This window comes from Homo sapiens, chromosome 1 (genome assembly GCF_000001405.40).
Source record: "Homo sapiens chromosome 1, GRCh38.p14 Primary Assembly".
In the NCBI taxonomy this organism is placed as follows: domain Eukaryota; kingdom Metazoa; phylum Chordata; class Mammalia; order Primates; family Hominidae; genus Homo; species Homo sapiens.
Genome location: NC_000001.11, coordinates 74452077 through 74473227, shown reverse-complemented (window position 1 = coordinate 74473227; position 21151 = coordinate 74452077). Strand labels below are relative to the sequence as shown.

The window sequence follows — 21151 nt, the reverse complement described above, 5'->3', positions numbered from 1 at the left end:
ACAGTAGGATCTGTCCAATGGATCACGTCTCTTGTGAATATTAAAAGAGATGATGAACGTACATTATGAGCACAATGCCTAGCTCTTAGCATGTGCTCAATTAATGGTATTACTATTATTTTTGTCATTAATATTATTTAATGTGTAAAAGGAGATTAGAGGCAGACATTAAGAAGAAGCCAGTACAAGTTTCCTTCTTCCACATGTGCCTATAGGGCTGTAGATATGGTCTGTCCCCAAACAGTCAAAGGAAGCTTCCTTTCTGAATGGTTCATCATGTACTATTTTCCTTTAGTAAATGAAAGATTGTAACATGAAGAGGAATTTGCAGGCAGACATTTAAAAGAAGCTAGCAGAAGAAGTTATAAGATTAATAAGATTAAATATTATATTAATCTGTACCATTTTAAAAGTCCCAGGTAAAGACTGCTGCCACACAAACCTGGCTATATTTCAAAATACCTATTTATTTAACAAATATTTAATGAACATTTTATTAAGTTATGGGAAATAAAACAGATATGGTCTCTGCTTTCATTGAGTCAATAGTATTGCAAGTATTTCCCTTTCATTGTCAAATTATTATCTTATTATTGATTATCTGAAACCTGAACATTACTCAATATTGCACCCATGTTCTGCCCAATATTTAAGTTGCAAATGGGAAATGAATTCAGGAAAAAATTACTATAGCCATTTACAAAGGATTTACATACTATTCATATTTAAAGCTAACCTAACCAACAACTAAAGATATATGACTATAAATAACATTTATATTTCTAACTCCACAACTTTTAAGTCAGCATCGCAACTGACTGCAGTGTGACCATAAAGAGTGTCATTGCAAAACATATGGGACTGACAAATGTCCTTTGTAGGTTTGGTTACAAATTAGGAAATAGTGAAGAACTGCAATTATCAGAGGAGTCAGTTTTATACTTTTCATAAGGTTTCTACGCATCTGTTTGGTTGGGGTAATAAAACTCTGCTAAGTGCTAAATTCTTGCATTTATTGTTCCACAGATATCAGCAGTGACATATTTAGAAGAAGATATGCAACACCCGCTTCAGCCTTGGCAGGAGAAAGTCTTGAGAAGCGTTTAACAAATGAATCATGGCAGCCTCCAATAGAAAAAGAAGACAATGGCTTACACCCTCATAGGCAAAGACATTTTATTACAAGCTCATCATCCAAGCCTTGTGAGCCTGAGGAACACTATGTACAAAAGATCGTACAAAAAAATAGATCAAAATATGATGATCCTTGTGGACTGTTAAAACAGAGCAAACCTAGGTATTTTCAGCCAAACAATTCTCTTATCTGTAAATATGTGCCCTGTGAGCAATTTGAAGATTACATGAAAGAAAAGAAGCCAAATCGTAGACAACACTCAAAGCCTGAGAAAGAGCAAATCCAAATTAACAGTGCAATAGAAAAATTTCTTATGAGTGAGGACAACATAGATTTATCAGGATTATCAACAAAAACCAAGAAAGCATATTCCCCAAAGAGGGTTATCTTCCATGATCCTGATTTAGTAGAAATAAATAGGTCGATGATGTCACCCAAAATATCAACCCCTTGGAAACGACAGAAAAATCAAAGTAACCAACTGACTAAGTTGGATGTTAAAAAATTTAGCAACACTGGGGAGAGAAACAAAGGAGAAAAATGGTTTACTAATTCATGGGTTCTGAAAAGGAAGAGAACCCCTCAGTCTGACCTCAAAGGGAAAATTAAAGGACAAAACTTAAAATTAAATTTACATCCTTTTAGAAAAGTCAGAGTCCATCCAGAAAAATCCTTGTCAAGTCTCCCAAAGCAATGCAAGCAGGTATTGTTGCCTCCTAAGAAATTATCCAAAACTTCTGAGACAGAAGCCAAAATAAATACTGTGTGTTCTGCAGATTTTCTTCAACAGTCAGAGAGTAGCAACTATGTTAGACTCACTTCAAAGAGGCTGCCTCTGAAACATGACTCAAAGCAGACCCCATATTATCAACGAAACACTAAACGTGCCCCCCTGCTCAGTGCTAACAACTTGCGTGTAGTCAACCAGAGCTCTATAGAAAGCAGCTGTTACTCAGCTGGCCACATTCCTGATGGAAACACATCAAAATTGCCCCAACCTACACCCACTGATGCTGAGCACAGGCACTCACATTCTCAATTCTCAACTGAGCAAATGGAAGATGCAACTCAGCTTGAATCAAAAGTGCTTAGTTATTTAGCAACTACTTGGGAAAATACAGGAAGTGATGTTTTACCATTCCAACATTCCAGGAGGGCTACTGACCAAGGGACAACGGAGTCCACTGAGCACATGGGACAGAATGTATCAAAGACCAGTGAGTTAAATCAGTTTTCTTTGTCCCCGAGGAATCAAACACAACTTTTAGATGCTCACAAGACTGACAGCTACAACAAGGAATACACTTTAGACCAAAATGAAGCCTTACAACACAGAGAGCAAAATTCAAGTCATGCACAGCTTGAAAATAAAGAAAAAACATTAATGACAAAACCCCAAATATCACATCAAATTGTGGAAAATTGTATTATGGATAAGGAAGAAAATGATGTAGAAAAAAAACTTTCAAAAACAGAAACTTATGATTCCTCTCTCATTCCCCAAACACAATCCAAGAACAACCTATCATTTATGAAGACAAATTCAATTCCATACCAAAATAGAATAGAACTTCCCAAGGATATCAGTACTTCTCCTGTTAGTAGTCAAGCCGTTTGGCACCTAACCAATAGTAGCGAAAAAGGAATTGACAGCACAAATGCATTGCCCAGAAATGACGGCACTGAAGCACTAGAGATAAAAATAGTAGGGAAAGAAGAGAAAAATATGCTTGATGAAAGCAAGACAGATTCTAGTATGTTAACTCAGATCTCACAAATGACCTTAAAAGGCATCACAAAAGAAAGGCAGCAAACTTGGGAAAATGGAACAAGTGAAAAATATATATTACATGATGCAAGCTCTGCCGAGGAGACCATTACAGCTAAAGATTTAAGTATCACAAGTTCCCATGAAACCCAAAATAGAATACTTTGCAGTGAAGTAGATCCTGAAGTTAACAGTAATGTACATAATTTTAGAGAAGTTCAAAATATTCAACCAGATAAAGATAGTGCACATAAAGAAGGCGCAATGACAGTGGAGACACATGAAGCGCTTTCCTTCTTACCAGGGTTAAAAGACAGTTTTGAGGCAGAAAATGAGGTGTTTTTAGTTCCTAGCAGAATAAATGAAGCTGAAAACTCTGCTCCAAAACCTGTACTGTATCCACCATCTGCTGAATATGCTACTACATCACCTTTAGAAACAGAATAAAGTGAACAAAATAACTCAAATAATAATCCTTTTCTACTTTAGCTTTCTTCAAGAGGACAAACACCCACTAGCCTTTGCATGCATTAGAAGTGGATCATTTTGGAGGACAACAACGTCCTCAGTAACTCTTTGTTATCAATAAAATAAAACCAGAGTTGAATATATGACAAAAATCAAAGATGGAGTCATAGGATACGTCTGACACAATTAACTGAGTATGCTTCTCTAAGGAATGAAAAAACAAGTAAGAAAAGTTTTGCCAAGTCTTGCAAAAGCAAGCAAACATTGAAAAAAAAAAAGCCTTAAACAAATGAAAAACTACATAAGAAGAGTATTTGAGCAGATTTACATTTGATGTTTATTTCATGTAAATTATTATACATATCTCAATTAGTGGTATTACAATATTGCTTTCTACATGGATAATTATATATTCATATTTGTGTTTGATCTGTTTTCCTAATTATAGTATGAAAATAAAAATTCAGCTTTGTTAACTGTAGTGTAACTGATATGCATATTGGTATGTTTCATACATTTGCAATTGTCCTGTTGACAATCATCCCAGATTTAAGTAGAAGTCTTTAAAACTTGTTATTTCTCTAAGAGAAAAAAATTAAGGATTTCCAGGGATAGTTGGCTGTTCCCATAAAGATCTGCAAAATCCTATATATCCACTAGGTGGAGATCTCAGCTTCAATCATTTTAGAAGAACAGGGCTTGAAGATCGACACAATGGATCCTGAACAAAAGGAATTTTAATGAGCTTTATTGCCAATTGTTATTAATTTAAGATTTTGAAAACTAAATAACCTATTAGTGCATAGCTTTCAAGGTCTGATCTCTTGGGTTTCGCATGCCACTGTTGTTTGGAGTGAGAACTCCTCCTTATACACTGGAATTAAATGTGAATATAAATATTAAATTTAAAAACAGTAACAGAACAAACATGTCTCATTCAAAGCCATGCTTATTTGAAAAATATAGATATATTCAAATAATTTAATTATTGAGACCACTGTAAAAAATATTTGAAGCATACCTTCACAATTTAGAATATTATAATATTTTACATTTTTTAGTAGGGGAACAAAAATGTTAAAAGGGAAACAAACTTCCTCTTCTCCTATCTCTACACCTGTCTAGGTCTATACATCTTTATATCTGCATTTGGTAGAATAATAATAATAAATAAGCTTTATAAACCTTATAAGATTAGAACAACATAAATATTGCCTACATACCCCGCCTCTTTTGTTTCCCTTCCTATTCAGAGTTGCTAGGAAATAACTTAAGTTTCTTATTTTGAAAATTCCTAAACTTCTTACCTCTCTTCTTCATCTTTTCTCGCCAATATTCAAGACTTTATTGCTTTTAATCCTAATTCCTCTGGTATTTCTGTTCATTATCTCTGCTTGAGCTTAACTGCTATGCCACCTATCTGCCTTGCCTGACCCCACTTTATTTTTAAAGCACCTTTAAGGTGAGACGAGTATCTATGCCAACTTCTTGCATGATAAGTTTATTCCACCCTAATCGACAGTTTCTTCATCTTTGTAGACCAGGTCACTTTTTTTCTTGGTAGCTATCTTTCTTTTTCCTTTTTTTTTTTCTTCTTCTTTAAAGCGCTGTCACCTTACTTCAGCACCTTTAGCTTTGTTCTCTCTGCTCTCACTGCCAAGAATATCCCTGATATCTAGAGGCCTAATGAGTACTCTTGGTCACTAACTGACTCTCAGGAGGCAGCAATCCTAGTTCTCCTGGTCTCTTTTCTCTCTTCCATTTCTGAAATCCAGTCTTTTACCTCTTTATGATGTTTCCTTTGAAATAGTTCTCAGGTTTACCCTTGCCCTTGAATCTCCATGGTAACCATTGTAGTCTGTGTGTTGTAATCAACTGGATTACTCAAACAGCAGTCCAGCTGGCTGCTCCAACTTCATTGTCTTTTGCTTGAGTTTCAACCCATTCATTTTTTATCTTTGTTGGGCACAAATCACCTGGGGCGCTTGTTAAATTGTGGAGTTTCAGGCTCCATCTGAGAGATTTTAATTCAGTAAACTTAGATTAGGGCCCCAGAATCTTCATTTCAACAAACTTTCCAGGGTAATCTGGAATACATAGTTTGCAGCCCACATATTAAGAATCAATGCTTAGCTATTCCAATGAGCATTACAAGATAATTCAGTGTTTGCCTTACTGTAGGAACTACAATTTTTTTAAGTAAATAAATCCTTTGTATCAAACTCAGATGAACTTCCTAAAAAATTACTTTTATCTTTTCACTCCTTTAGAGAAAAAAATATAATTGCCATAATTTCACGTCCAAATTTCCTGTTCCAGTTTCCAAAATCTGTCACTATCTAGTATCAGGCTTTTTTCTACCTCTTACTGTTTTCCAACCTTCTCCCATCTTCAATAGACTATTCTTCTTACTCTCCTCAATGTTCTAGTTTATGAGTTTTGACTAAGAAGACATCCTGGAGAAAATACTGTGCTTCAAATTCAAGGAATGAAGTAAAGACAGATATGCAAGAAAAAATGAGAAGCACAGTTGATAACCTAGAAAGTAATGACCAGAATAGCATGATGTTAGTGTCCTCCATCTAAAGATGAACTTGTTTCAAATAATGCCTGATACAGAGATTTAACCTCTCCATGGCTACAATGTTGCAACTGCTACTAGTCTTTCCCTTGTATCTGTTCTCCTAATGAATTTTCGTATGTTCTGGTTGCTTAGACTGTTTTTCTTTCTCACCAAGCCGCCTTCTTTCAGAAAACTACTGTTTATGGCCTCAGCTCAAGTGTTACTCTTTTTGGGAAGCCTTCACTAACCTGCATTCTGTCTTTGTCCCCCAACTTGCGAGTAGTATTGTTTTAGTATATAGTCTCACAGAGTTTTGTCTTTCTTAACCTTGGCAGTTAACTATAGAATCATTAAAATGTTTATTCAATCAATCTCCATATAACTAGCAGGTCTTAAACTCCATTTAAGAGTTTACATCTCTATTGAATCCCTTTCCCCTATCCTAGGAGGTATACAGTAGGAACTCAACAAATAATTGTTGAAGGAAAGAATGAAAAACAGCCCACTGTTCCCTTTTCTTTGCCACTCAGCTTGCTAACATGATGAAGACCTTACTGGACAATTAAGAAAGACTCAAGTGAGTCACATACAGAAGCAGCTCAACTTCATTATCCTGAGGTGGTTACCAGAGCCAAGTCAGGCTCAACTGACTGGCAGACCCACATATCTCAAGCCAGCTGAAGACTTTGCTTTCCTAATATGCTTTTTCTTCATCTTCCCCTCTTCATCTCATCAGCAGAACAAAGACTCCGTGCTGACAAACTTCACTTCTTAACAGTACAACTTTTCTGCTAAGCAATCGATTTTTATCCTTTCTTTTTTTTAACAGTATCCTTTGGCCATATTCCAATTTCTGTTTGTCATTTCCCAACTCTTTGCTTGAGACATCCATCCTACCCAAAAAATGCTTTTAGAACCTGCCAATGACCTATCTTTACATTGATATTAGAAATTCCACATGCCTGTTATCTATAATTATGAAGAGACACTTCATCAAAGAAAAAGGGATTCCCTTGATTGTTATTTGATGGTAAACTTTGTCATAGTGTGTCCAGAATTGGTGGGTTCTTGGTCTCGCTGACTTCAAGAATGAAGCCGCACACCCACGCAGTGAGTGTTACACTTCTTAAAGATGGCGTGTCCGGAGTTTGTTCCTTCAGATGTTCAGATATGTCCGGAGTTTCTTCCTTCTGGTGGGTTCGTGGTCTTGCTGACTTCAGGAGTGAAGCTGCAGACCTTCGGGGTCAGTGTTACAGCTCATAAACACAGCGTGGACCAAAGAGTGAACATCAGCAAGACTTATCGCTAAGAGCAAAAATCATAGCTTCCACAATACAGAAGATGACCAGAGTGGCTTACTGCTGCTGCTGGCTTGGGCACCCTGCTTTTATTCCCTTATCTGGCCCCACCCACATCCTGCTGATTGGTCCATTTTACAGAGAGCTGATTGGTCCGTTTTGACAGGGTGCTGATTGGTGTGTTTACGGTCCCTGAGCTAGACACAGAGTGCTGATTGGTGCATTTACAACCCTCTAGATAGACATAAAAGTTCTCCAAGACCCCACCCCACACAGGAGCCCAGCTGGCTTTGCCTAGTGGATACCTGGCCAGGGCCGTGGGCAGAGCTGCCCACCAGTCCTGCATCATGCGCCTGCACTCCTCAGCCTTTGGGCGGTCGGTGGGACCCGGTGCCGTGAAGCAGGGGGCAGTGCCCATAGGAGAGGCTCGGGCCACGCAGGAGCCCACGGTTGGGGGGGGACTCGGGCATGGAGGGCTGCAAGTCCCAAGCCCTGCCGTGTGGGGAGGCAGCTGAGGCCTGGTGAGAATTTGAGCACGGTGCGGGCGGGCCAGCAGTGTTGCGGGACCTGGCCCACCCTCTGCAGCTGCTGGCTCAGGTGCTAAGCCCCTCAGTGCCTGGAGTGGCGCCCACCGGCCACTCCAAGTATGGGGCCTGCACCCACTGGGAACTCATGCTGGCACCCGAGCGCCAGCTGGTTACCTCCTGCGCCTCTCCCTCCACACCTCCCCGCAAGCTGAGGGAGTGGGCTCCGGCCTCGGCCAGCCCAGAGAGGGGTTCCCACGGTGCAGCTGGGGGCTGAAGAGTTCCTCATGTGTGGCCAGAGTGGACTACGAGGCCAAGGAGGCCCCGAGAGTGAGTGAGGGCTGCTAGCACGTTGTCATCTCTCAATAGCTCACATCCCACAGAGAGAAGGAAATTCTAGAATAGGTGCTTGACATACTTTTTCTGAGGTTCACACTGAAATACAAGAAAATGTTTTCCTAAACTATTTTATGTGATGTAATTTTCAAGATGAAATTTTCTGGACATCAAAATTCAGATGCAGAGATTGAAGGCACTGATAGGCAATACTGGTATTCATTCATTTACTCAACAAACATTCTTAAGCATCCAGCTTTAGATGTTAGTGTTATAGCAGTGAACAAAATAAACAAAAAGGACCGCTTTCATGGAGCTAACATTTTGGTAGTGATGGAAGATTCTAAACAAATAAACATGTAACACATCAGGTTGAATGGCCAGGATAAGAGGTTATCTTCTGAGATACTCAATCCACATCCCAAAACGATCTTCATTTTTCTTCTTAAGAGTTTCTGTGTACACAGATGAGACTGGGTAATGACTTGGTCTGGATTTTGCCTTTAGGAAAAGAATGGAAAATTTGCATTCTCTTTTCAAACATCTGGACTGGGGCCTATTTTATTTCTCCTGAGTGAGATATTTCCTGAAATAATAGCCTCACTTTATTCTCTTGTTGAAGAGCTATAAAGTGCCTAGGAAGGATCAGAAACAAAGTTATAATTTAAGAGGACAATAACTAGGATGGTTTAGGATGGAAAAATAAGAACCATTAGGTCTTTACATATGAGGTCCTCCATTGTGAAGAATGCAAACTAATACTCTCCACTCTGAGCAATGGAATCGATTGATATCAAAACACAAGGATTTTAATAGACAACAAAATATACTGGCAGAAGGATTACTAGACACTGGACTGAACTGTGTTACTAGGAAAGAAGTTGTGCAATCTCCTCGGTGACACTCTGAGAACAAAGCAGACATAACCCGTCTGCACACTTAAGAATCCCTTCTTGCAGGCGGATTGTTTGGAATTTCATTCTGTGATAATATGACTATTCCCTCTCTATTCTTTTAGACCTATGACCGTATTTAAAAATTTATTTTACTGTTTAAATATCCCTTCCATAACATTGATCACTCCATTTGAATTCGAAGTCTATGCTGTTAACCACATCATAATACTGTCAACTCAGAAAGTTAGAGAGGGATTAGGACCCAGGTCTTCTGCCTCCTACGTGAGCCAGTGCTACTGAAGACCACCTATTCTGAGGCCTGCCTCATGTTTAAAAGCCAACACAAATCCATCTTGTGCCAAATTTCTTGCTTCAGAAAATGACTAAGTGTGGCTCACGCGTAGTTAATAAAAATTGCAGCTGAGATGAGACTGTGAGTCATCTGTCATACCCTGGTCTCTCTTTTACTAATCAGTTGTGAGAAACGTTTCAAAATCAGAAAGCAGCAGCTAAGAAATATGAGATACTCAGACTTCTTGAGGCAATTAGAGACTAAAGAGCAGAAGGCAAATCAGTCTTCCCGCCTTGACAGTCTTAAAATACACACTGAAAGTAGACTTTGGAGTTATACTATTTGTGACAGATTTTGACCATAACACATTTTCTAAGAGGAAATAAAAATTACTCACTTCAGGACATGCGTTCCACCCTCGTATCAGCAGAGATGATATGGGCTTGGGAATGGAATAGCCAATGGGAGGTCTGATGTGGTGGTAAGCCATGTCTGCTGCCGCAGCCGCTGCAAACCAAATGGTCATGTCAGTTTTGAAATTCACATGTTTATTTCAAGCAACAAATGAAGACACACACACACAAAAAGGCATTAAAAATCAATCTGAGCAACATCAGCAGACATTCAAAGAGACCTCTAGGCTTTTTTCCCCCAATGGTCTAAAGAAAGTGATGGATAATTTGATACTACAAACTTATCTTTATTCATTTGGTTTCAGACTCAATAAATAGTACAGGGCATTTATAAGGAGTGAAGGAATATGCAAGGAGCAAGTAGTTTTGTTTGTCTGAAGTATAGGGTATGTACATGATATTATAAGAAGTAAAGATTGAAAGGCAGATTAAACAAGACTGTATAATGCCATAAATCCCAGGCTAAAGAGCTTATATTGTATGTAGTAAACATGGAATACCACTGAAATTTGCACTTCTCATAGCACCTGTATCACTTGAGCAAAGTAGATTTTTTTAAAGCTTAAATCCTATTACTGGTTACAAAGTTGTTGGGATTTTAATTTTTAATATTTATAAAGTAGTTATTATTTTTAAAACTCTGTTGGACACTTCACATCTTTATTTTAGCTAACAATACTCATTGATTGAAGTCTGTCGTGTTGCCTGCCTGCATGGATTTCTGAATATCGCTCATCTCAAAGTCTGCATCACTGTTTTGTGATTCTTAGAACTTCACTGTAGATTCCTGATTGCTAAATATTTCCTGTTCTGCAACTAATGATTTCTATACTCCCTTAGAAACCAAGCTTGTAGCTACTTTTACTGAATGCATTTTGTATCAGGCATCATGGTAGATAACTACATAAACTCCTTTAATCCTCCTAACCACCATGCAAAGTAGGTGTTGTTGTTGTTGTTATGTGTGGAGCTAGTTTTTAATTTATAAACATTTTACATATAACTAATGTTTGGTGCAGTCTTTTGTTTCAAAATCCATGCTCTCTTTAGCACACATTATAATAAATATACTCTGTAATCAACACATGATGCCCTGTCTATTCCTCACAAAAACTGCTCTGCATCAGTGAGAGGATAAAGTTCCAGGACATTGCTGCTGCCTGTCTTTTAGATTGTGGTATTGTAAGCATCTGTCTATATCTTAATGACTTTTGAGATATAAGCCACAACTACTACCTCTACTCTACCAAAATTTACTCCCATCAAATTCTGTTTATCCATACACTTTCAGTAGGCCTAGTGAAATTATATGCAATGTGATTTGATCAACACTTTATGGATTATTCTGAATGATTACCTAATTTTGCCAATTGTAAATTAATACTTCTTCCTTGTAGAAGTTTAAAAAATTAAGAGAATTAGAAGGAATAAATGTTATCATTTAGAAGAAACCATTGTTAAAATATTTCACATATTTCTTATACTTTACATCATTGACCTTATGTCAATATACAATTATGTAATTGTTTTTTCTAAATATTAAAGCATTAATCTAAGCAATGAAGCATTTTCTCATGTTATTAACACTTTATGTTAACATATTTTAATGACTCTGCATTTAGTTTTTAATCATTTCCGAATTTTAGGTTTTTCCAAATTTGGGTGTAAACACTTCAAAGAATATCTTTTCAACATGAGTTGCCAGATTTCATAGATTATTCATTTATGATATTTTGAGGAGAGAAGATGATGTGCCAAAGGCATAACTACTTTAAAGACTTCGGTACAACAATTATTCTAACAGTTGTACTAAATTTATACTCTCAACAGCATGTGTGTGAGGGTTATCAATACATCTGCACCAGAATTAGGTTTTCTCATTTTATAAAACATGTTACTAATTTCAGAGGTAAATATAGCCACTCATTTTTTTTGTTGTTTAGATTGTGTTCTTATCAAATATGTCACTACTTATTAAATGTGTCTTCTGTGTCACAAAAAATTAGGCATTTTGGAGTACTTTCACTGGTTACTCTTTTTTTTTTTTTTTTTCTCGAGACAGAGTCTCACTGTGTCACCCAGGCTGGAGTGCAGTGGCATGATCTGGGCTCACTGCAGCCTCTGCCTCCTGGGTTCAAGTGATTCTCCTGCCTCAGCCTCCCAAATAGCTGGGACTACAGGCACATGCCACCACCCCCAGCTAATTTTTTTGTATTTTTAGTAGAGATGGGATTTCACTGTGTTAGCAGGATGGTCTCGATCTCCTGACCTCGTGATCCTCCTGCCTTGGCCTCCCAAAGTGCTGGGATTACAGGCGTGAGGCACCATGCTGGGCCACTCTTGACTATTTTTAAATTATTTCTGGGATGAGGTAAATCAATAAGCAAACAAACTGGTGCTCAGCAATCACTGATCTTCTAACTCCACTTTGTTACCTTATGATCATTTGGATATTGTTGAGCTGGTGTAGCTGTAAGTACATAAGCCAGTATGGTGAGCACATTTAAAATAGTTGTGCATAGTCTAATGGGTGGGGAGGGACTAGTCATAAAATGAGTTAAACTCTGATGCAGGTGCCAACCATCCCCCTTTGAAATTCTTTTAGATTCTGGTATCAAAAATATAGAGTTACTTGTTTGCTTCTTGGCAGTGTGTCTGGAAAATCAGTTTAAGATGAATGATATTTAATTCTTCATTATTCAAAGTAGATTCTGCAAAGTCTTGGCATCTCCTCCCCTTTGCTTTAAGCACTCTTGGCAGTGATGCTACTCATTAGTGCCTCCACCAGAAAGTGGGCAATGTAACATGAGGGGGTCATGAAATTGAAATTTGTCACCTTGAGATTGTTTTGTCAGTCTTGCCTAAGCAGCCATGCTACACTAACATCTGGGAAATTTTCTGGTATTACAGATTCAGGAAGGAGATTGTCAGCCCATTAATCAAATTTTTACCTTGATTGCTACAAAAAATATGTTAGAGGATTTATGTAAATGTTGGTTTCTACTTTAAAGAATGAGACTTTGCCATTAAAGGAGAATAAAGCTAAATTTAAAAATATTAATAACTATTTATTGAGCAACTATTATTTCTCAACAGTCTCCTGAAATATTTATCAATAGTTTAGTAGAAATAATAACCTAGATCTAGAGTAGGAGTATCCAATAGAACTTTTTACACTGATAAAAATGTTCTTGTAATCCCAGCACTTTGGGAGGCCGAGGCGGCAGATCACGAGGTCAGGAGATTGAGACCATCCTGGCTAACACGGTGAAACCGCATCTCTACTAAAAACACAAAAAATTAGCTGGACGTGGTGGCTGGCGCCTGTAGTCCCAGCTACTCGAGGCAGGAAAATCACTTCAACCTGGGAGGCAGAGGTTGCAGTGAGTCGAGATCGTGCCACTGCACTCCAGCCTGGGCGACAGAGCAAGACTCCGTCTCAAAAAAAAAAAAAAGTTATATGTTGTTAAATATGATAGCATAAAGTTACAGAGCACTTAAAATGTGGCTAGTGTGACTGATAAATTGAGTTTTTAATTTGTTTAATTTTATTTAATATAAATTTAAATAGTCATGGTAAGTGGCTTTCATATTAAACAACATAATTCTAGAGCATAGCTTGCACTCTCATTATCCTGAAAAACAAGAGTTAAACCCAGTATTGTGAGTCAGCTGCAGAGTCTATATAACCATGGTGTCAATTTGTGGATTCAACTTCTCCCTTGTTTGTCGATACTTTATCAAGAAAAGAAAAGACATGAATGGAGATTGTGTATGTTGTTTCTCAAAAGTGATAGACCAGTGAAAAGCTACAGAACAGGCATTCAGCACAACATGTGATAACCTCATTCATGTATTCATTTGTCAAAATGTACTGACTATTTTATGTAAGTGATAATAAACCAAAAATAATCTGGTGTTATTTTTTTCAATGAAAATTGGTAAATGAATAAATAAGAAATATGTGAATGCCTAGTTTTTTTCACTGCATTTTATGGTTCAGTTGTTAATTCTAAAATGCGATTCCTTTTGCCTGGAATGTTCTCCCCTACCTCTTTTTCCTTCGTAACATCTACTGTCATTTAGCTCTTATCTTTGATTGACTTTTCCTGGGTACCCTTCCTATGTACTTCCATAACAACCTGTACTATCATAACATGTATTATACTTAATTGCCTCTTTATTTGTCTGCCTGTGCATATAGATCATAAATGCCTTGAGGTCAGGGACTGTGTCTTTTCACCATTGTATCTTCTGTGCCTAGCACAGTACTTGGCTATTAATAGGTATTCAAAAGGTATGCATTATTTCCCTTAGGATAATGGCCTCCAGCTACATCCATGTTGCTGCAATGGACATTATTTTGTTCTTTTTATGGCCATATAGTATTCTATGGTGTGTATGTACCACATTTTCTTTATCCAATCCTCTGTTGATGTGCACCTAAGTTGATTCCATGTCTTTGCTATTGTGGACAGTAGAGGTCATTATCCAAGGGGAATTAATGCAGGACCAGAAAACCAAATAACACATGTTCTCACCTATAAGTGGGAACTAAACTTTGGGTACACATGGACATAAAGATGAGAACAATAGACACTGCAGACTACTAGAGGAGGAAGGGAGAGAGAGGGGCAAGTTGAAAAACTACCTATTGGGTACTATGCTCACTGCCTGGTGATGAGATCTATAACCCAAACCTGAGCATCACAATATACCAATGAACCTGCACATGTACCCCCTGAATCTAAAATAGAAGTTGAATAACAGTAAACAATTAAAAAACATAGGCACTAAAAGTGTTATTTAACTGGAACTCATATAAATTCTGGTATATAGGACTCAGTAACATTTATTGAATAAATGAATGAAGATGATAGCTTAACAGCAATAAATATCTTATTCATTATTATGTTTAGAGAATAGGGCACAATGCCTAGCCATCAAGAAACACTGTAGAGTGAATATAATGTTTAGTTTAATTCTAGATGACAACATGAGCAGGTAAATTACTGAAATCTAGTGGCAAATTTAATCAATATAATATCTTTCATTCAAAAATATGGGAGGAGGTGCTTCAATAAATTAAAGCAGAGTGACATAATAAGAAGTACCTTTACCAAGGAAATCTGGAGGTCTAATTTTCAGTCTGGCTTTGCTGTAAACTCTCTGGGAGATACTAATTAAACCAATTTGCCTCATGAGCATTAATTTTGCTAAATGTAAGATGAAGCAGGGAAGACAGAGTATAATCGTGGCAAACATGGGCTTTGAAGACAGAGAACCTGAGTATTTAAGTCTTGACTGCCCTCTTACTAGCATGTGACATTGAGCAAATGTCTTATCCTAAAAGAACTTAACCCACAGGTTAGTAGGACTAACTGAGATAGTATACATGGAGCTCCAGGCACATTGTTGGCTCTCAACAAGTGTAGCTGCGTTGTTGTTGCTATTATCATCATCTGCACATCTAAAAGTCTTACCAATTCTTTTTGGTTTGAACCTAGAGAGCTAGATATAAAAAACATAATTGTATGTTTTCTGTTTTGTTTAGAACACCAGTCAACTTAGGTCCTTTTTAGGTTCTCTTTGGGTATGAATACCAAGTAAAATATTACATTGAGTTACTGCAAATTTTAAGGCTACAACCTATCTCACTGGTCATAAGGCTCAGCTCATAATGCAATATGACTATGCAGAGAGAATGACTGTGCAGCTCTCCATGACAGCCTTAATTATCTATACCCCACTTACGGATAAGTTAGTATTAGATTCTCAATCCCTAAAGTAACCTTTCACTGTCTTCTGTTTTATAAAATTAAATTTAGAAACTCACATTAAAAAGATTAAAAAGAGAGCAATACGCTACAATATTTTGTTAGTAAGTTTTGACCAATATAAAATTGCCAGAAGTATCTTAATTTTTCAACTTTGATTGTGTTTATGTGTGTTCTGAAAAGTATAATTGATTCTACTTCATTGTTTTTAATGGGCAGGGCTGCGGTGAGACAAAGCAAATGTGTTCTACAATCCCAGCAAGAGCTAAGACACATTCTTTGTTAAACTGACACTTTTCAATGACGTATCACCAGAGTGTATAGCATCTGAGAGAGACCATGAGATTGCAATCTTGAGATTGCACTAAGAATGGCTTAATTTTTTAAACCACATCCCATTCTCATTACATACTGTCAGAAGAATAGATTAATTTGTTCCATTGTCTGTTCTCATTGCAATCTTTGTCAGTGTAATGAAATATTGGAATGTTAATATCAGCTATATTCATAGAAATATCTCCATCTATTGGACTGATTTAATCTTTCCAGTGATCTGCGTGGTGATTGGTTGGCTCTACTCCTTTTAGTGATAAACTGATAAGGATTAGCACAATAAACATAAGATTTCAGAAATTTAGCTCACTCCTATTTTCCTGCCGCTTGTCAAAGAACAGTCCACATCATCAGTGTGTTTGTATCCTATGAAGTTATTATATCCAGAATGCTTTAGGGTCCAAATAATATGTGGAAAAGGACATAATCATCTAATATTTAAGGAGGGGTAGTAAACTCAAATGGCTACCAATATGAGACCTATTGAATATCTGTGTCTTTAAATGTACTTTAATTCATATTTTTAAATACCATATGTGACATAAAAAAGTCTGCAAGCCATATTTGGTTCCTGGACTTCCAGTTTGCAACTCTGAGTTAAAGTCTCAATATGAAGTCTCACCAAAACCTGCCTAGAAAAAATTGGCAGATGTTCTTAAATTACTGCTATATCCTAGACTACTAAGAGCCTGGCATTAAGGAATCCCAGGACACAGAGTTAAATCTCTTTGTGAACCAGCTGGCGTCACACAGGAAAACAAAAAGAAAACAAGAGACTCTCTTCTTTGGGCCCAGACTATAATTTGAAAGTGATCCACAAATCTGGGTACCTGGTTATAAGGAAATGGGAATGGATACAATACATATTGATGGATTAATTCATCTCAGCTTTCTTCTTTAGTTGATCATGATGTATCAGAGGAGACAAGCCCAGGAGAGAAATGAAATCTGGGAAGCAGGTGTTGATTTCTTTCTCTAAAATGTATTGAGGACAGCTCTTATTTGCCAGGTTGTGCCTGCTTATTTTTCATCTTGCCTGGTTCTTCTCTATCTGTTTGGCTTCACACCTTGGCTCCTTCTCCTCCTAATCTGATAATTTCCCTCATAAATCTGCTCCTTTTCTTGTATCCATCATTATCATGATGGTTAAGCCAGAAGCCTGGAAGTCTTTCTTGACCTCCTCATTTCCCTTGTGCTCCCACCTCAATCCATTCAGAAGTCCTATTAAAATCTCCCTAAACCAATATCTCCTTTCTCTTTCAAAGCTACTGCTTCAGTTAACGTAATAGATATTTCTTCTAGATGAACTGATTTCCCTGCTTCCAGTTTTGAATTTCTCCAGTCCAGCCTTTGCTTTGTTACAAGAGAAGCATTCTAAAATAATAATAAGAGTTGTTCTATATTCCTTTTTAAAACTTTGCAGTGACCTCCATTGATGACACACACAAGGCCTGTGATAGTTCATTAAATGTGTCAACTTGACTGGGCTAAGGGATACCCAGATAGCTGGTAAACTGTTATTTCTAGTGTGTCTGTGAGGGTGCTTCTTGAAGAGATTAGCATTTGAGTCATAGACTGAGTGTAAAAGATCCACCCTCACCAATGTGGGCAGGCATCATCCAATGCCTTGAGGGCCCCAACAGAATGAGGAGGCAGAGGAAGGGTGAATTAGCTCTCTTTTCTGGGGCTGTGACATGCACCTTCTCCTGACCTCAGATATCAGCACTTCAGATCCTTGGGCCTTCAGAGTCTGGAACTTACAGTGGTGACCCTCCTGATTCTCAGGACTTTGAACTCACACTGAATTACATCACTGACTTTCTGGGTTCTCTGGTTAGTGGAGAGCATATTGTGGGATTTCTTGGTCTTCATAATCATATGAGTCAATTACCACAATAAATCACCTCTTACACATATAAATAGATATATTCCACTTGTTCTGCTTCTCTAGAGAACCCTGACTTGTACAAGGACTTTCAACATCTGGTTCCAGTTTTACATTTATAGTCTGTGTTGTTTGACTGATGTCCTTGTATTCCCTGATTCATCCCTACTGAACTATATGTGGATTTCTCAGGCCTCTGGACCTTGCTGATACAGCTTTCTGCTGGATCATCTTCCTCACTTCTTCATAGTTTACCTATTTAACTAGTAGTCATCTTTTAAAAGTGCATTCAGGTATCATCTGTTCTAAGAATCCTTCCCTGATATCCTTTTACTTCCTCCAGTTTGGGTAAAAGGCCCTTCCAGGGAGCATCCTTAGTCCTCTGTGCTTCTCTCTAGTTGAGACTTACTCTGCTGATTTTGCTTCTGTCACTCATTCTCTATACTATGAGTAGTTTGATGGCCTGGTCAGCGACCTATTCCTCTTTATTTTCTGCTTACTATGGCACAGTTCCTGGCCCAGAAAGAAAGAACTCAGTGGTGGCCTAAAGATAATAATAATAATAATACCTAACATTTACTGAGTGCTTATTATTATCAACCACTGCTCTAACCTTTTGAAGTAGGTCTTATTATTATGTCCATTTAAAAAATAAATGAATGCTTGTGAGGATGCAAAGAAAGGGGAACTCTCATACACTGTTGGTGGGAATGTTAATTTGTACAGTCACTGAGATGGAGAACAGCATGGAGGTTTCTCAAAAAACTAACAATTGTACTACCATATTATCCAGCAATCCCACTGCCAGGTATATATCCAAAAGAAAAGAAATCAGTATATCTAAGAGATAGCTGCACTCCCATGTTTACTGCAGCACAATTAACAATAGTAAAGATTTTGAACCAGCCTAAATGTACATCAGTAGATAAATGGATAAAGAAAATGTGGTACATATTCACAAGGAATATTATTCAGACATAAAAAGAATGAAATCCTATCATTTGCAACAACATGGATGGAACTGGAAGCCATTATATGAAGTGAAATAAGCCAGGCACAGAAAAACAAATATCACATGTTCTCGCTCATATGTGGGAGCTTAAATAAAAATGAACTCATGGAGATAGAAAGTAGAATGATAGTTACCAGAGGCTGGGAAGGGTAGTGGGGAAGATGAGATAAAGTGGAAATGGTTAATAGATACAAAAGTACAGTTAGATAAAATGAATAAGATCTAGTATTCAGTAGCATAATGGAGTGACTATAGTTAACAATAATTTATTGTATGTTTTAAAACAACTAAAGAACAGAATTAGAATGTCCCTAATCCAAAGAAATGATAAATGCTTAAGTCAGATATCCCTATTATTCTGGTTTGATCATTACACATTTTATGCCTGAATCAAAACATCACATGTACCCCATAAATATGTACAATTATTATGTATCCATAATAACATAAAAGAAAGAATTAAGAATAAAAATAATAAACTAAGGTATAGATAGGTTAAATAAATTGCACAAGGTCGCAAGACACATGCCAATTCTCTTTAGCCCCTACGGTGTTAGCCTGAAACATATTTTCTTTAAAATGCTGAATTAATTGCCAACATTAAAAAATGTATAGATTTCTTAATTAATGAGCAGAAAGAAATTAGTTGATATGGTCAGCGTGGGTATACCTACGTTCCTGCTCAGCGCTGTTTGGCTGGAGCGTGAGTCAGAGCACGTGATTTCTTATTCATCACACTGTTCTGCCTTGAGCATCTGCATGGTCCTGTGGGCATTTGATCTTTTTGATTTGACCTTTAAGGTGGTGGATGTGATGGTTTTTCAGTTTTCCTAAACCTGAGATTACAGGTTAATTTGAACATGTGAGATGCAAAAGAGACCCTAACTTCAAGCTTTTCTGAATGTATCCCTATCACTTGTGTAGGAGTCAATGCTAATATTGGTGTTCTTTGTTTATATTTTTCCCAGGAAGTAGTATGCTGTTAAATCCAGAAGGATGAGTCCTGTATAATGCTGCTACTACCATAATTGATAATGCTGTCTCACTTTGCAGTCATGGATTCGTTCCTCGTTGTAAATGGCTAATATGTAGCTTATATTGAATCTGATGCTTCACATAATTTATTGCTGAACATATGCTAGATGGCCTAACCACTGAAATGATATTAGACATCTTGTTTCTTGATTCATGGTAACTGTCCAACTTTGAAAAATTCAGCATCTATCATAAACAAAATCTCTTTCCAATAAAGTACTATACATTTTAATATCTGGGATATTGGAACAAAGATACTCTTAGGCAAGACTTTCAACTTTTTATTAAATAATATTCTCCCTCTAAAGTGGGTAACTATTTCTGGGGTCCATGAACTAAAATCTCAGGGACATTTTTACCTTTTTTAAGTATTTAGTTTATAATTAGCAAAGTCTAATGAAGTAGAGAAAATTACAAAACTGTGAGTAAAATGTGATAAATGCAATGATAAATGGTAACTTGGGATAAGGAGGAAATTGCACTTGATATTGGAGAATTAAGAAAGATTTTTGGAAAGAAATTATATTTAGACTAAGACCTAAAAATAAATTGGAGTTGCTGTAATGAAAAGTGGAGAAGAGTGTCTCTGACAAAGAGACTAATGTGCACAAAGGCATGGAGGTGAGAGGACACATGCTGGGGATATGAAAGTTTCCTGTGGTTGGGATGACTCTGGATGACGGGCTGCATGTGGTGAGATGGAGGCCGGGGAGGCAGGCAGGGACATAATCATAAGGGGCTTTGAAGATTGTTTTAAGATGTTTTGTTTTTATCTTAAGAGCAAAAGAAAAACACTGGGAATTTTAAGTCAAAGAAGTGCTATGTTCAAATTTGCATTTTTAGAAAGCTAAATCTAGTGATTGGTGGAAAAAAGATGATAAGCAAAGCTGAAGGCAGGATACTATTTAAGATAATGTGCTGTATTTGACATGTGAAATAAGGAAGTAGCAGTGGAGATGGAGATAACTGGATGGATTTCAGAGATAAACTGTAGAACTGAAAATAGGAAAATAATTTTAAAAAGAAAGAAAGAGAGAAATAAATAAAACGAGACTAAAGAGGAGTCAAGGATGACTTTGAAGTTTCTACATGGGCCACCTAGAGAACGAGAGTGCCACTGAAGTACAGAATCAAAAGGAGCCTTGACCTTGTATTACACTTTTTCCTAATCTTGCACCTTACAGTTACAGAGAGTTTGCAATTTATAAAGTGTGGTCACAAACATAATCTCATTGAATGCTCACAGTAATTTTTTGTGGTAGTCATCATTAATTGCATTTACTGAGGAAACAGAACTTGTGAAAATGCCTAGAGGTCAGATGAAATGCAACATACTGAGAGTGCAGAAAGTGAACTGATGTTAGTAATGTGAGAGGTACAGAATCAGGGAGAGTTTTACAGGACATAAGAATTTTG

General features: G+C 37.2%; 3 protein-coding genes across 7 annotated transcripts in view; 1 reads left to right on the top strand and 2 right to left on the bottom strand.

Annotated features, from left to right (window-relative positions):
• LRRC53 (leucine rich repeat containing 53) overlaps window positions 1-3852 on the top strand; it is a 67704-nt gene extending 63852 nt beyond the window's left edge. For all 4 annotated transcript variants that reach the window (XM_011542512.4, XM_017003081.2, NM_001364666.2 and 1 more), the window contains one exon: window positions 1027-3852. In XM_011542512.4, coding sequence (XP_011540814.2) covers window positions 1027-3350 — 2324 coding nt within the window. In that variant the 3' untranslated portion in view covers window positions 3351-3852. The remainder of the gene's footprint in view (window positions 1-1026) is intronic.
• The window catches only part of FPGT-TNNI3K (FPGT-TNNI3K readthrough), a 346187-nt gene that overhangs the window by 71201 nt on the left and 253835 nt on the right, over window positions 1-21151 (bottom strand). The window contains exons 23-24 of one of the 2 annotated variants that reach the window (NM_001199327.2): window positions 9678-9787; window positions 8306-8593 (exon numbers count right to left, since the gene is read on the bottom strand). In NM_001199327.2, the coding sequence (NP_001186256.3) occupies window positions 8486-8593; window positions 9678-9787 (218 nt within the window). In that variant the 3' untranslated portion in view covers window positions 8306-8485. Of the gene's footprint in view, window positions 1-8305; window positions 8594-9677; window positions 9788-21151 lie in introns of those variants that run through there. The other variant, NM_001112808.3, reaches the window with a different exon arrangement.
• TNNI3K (TNNI3 interacting kinase) overlaps window positions 1-21151 on the bottom strand; it is a 309042-nt gene that overhangs the window by 71201 nt on the left and 216690 nt on the right. Inside the window, exon 21 of the mRNA NM_015978.3 lies at window positions 9678-9787. Coding sequence (NP_057062.1) covers window positions 9678-9787 — 110 coding nt within the window. The remainder of the gene's footprint in view (window positions 1-9677; window positions 9788-21151) is intronic.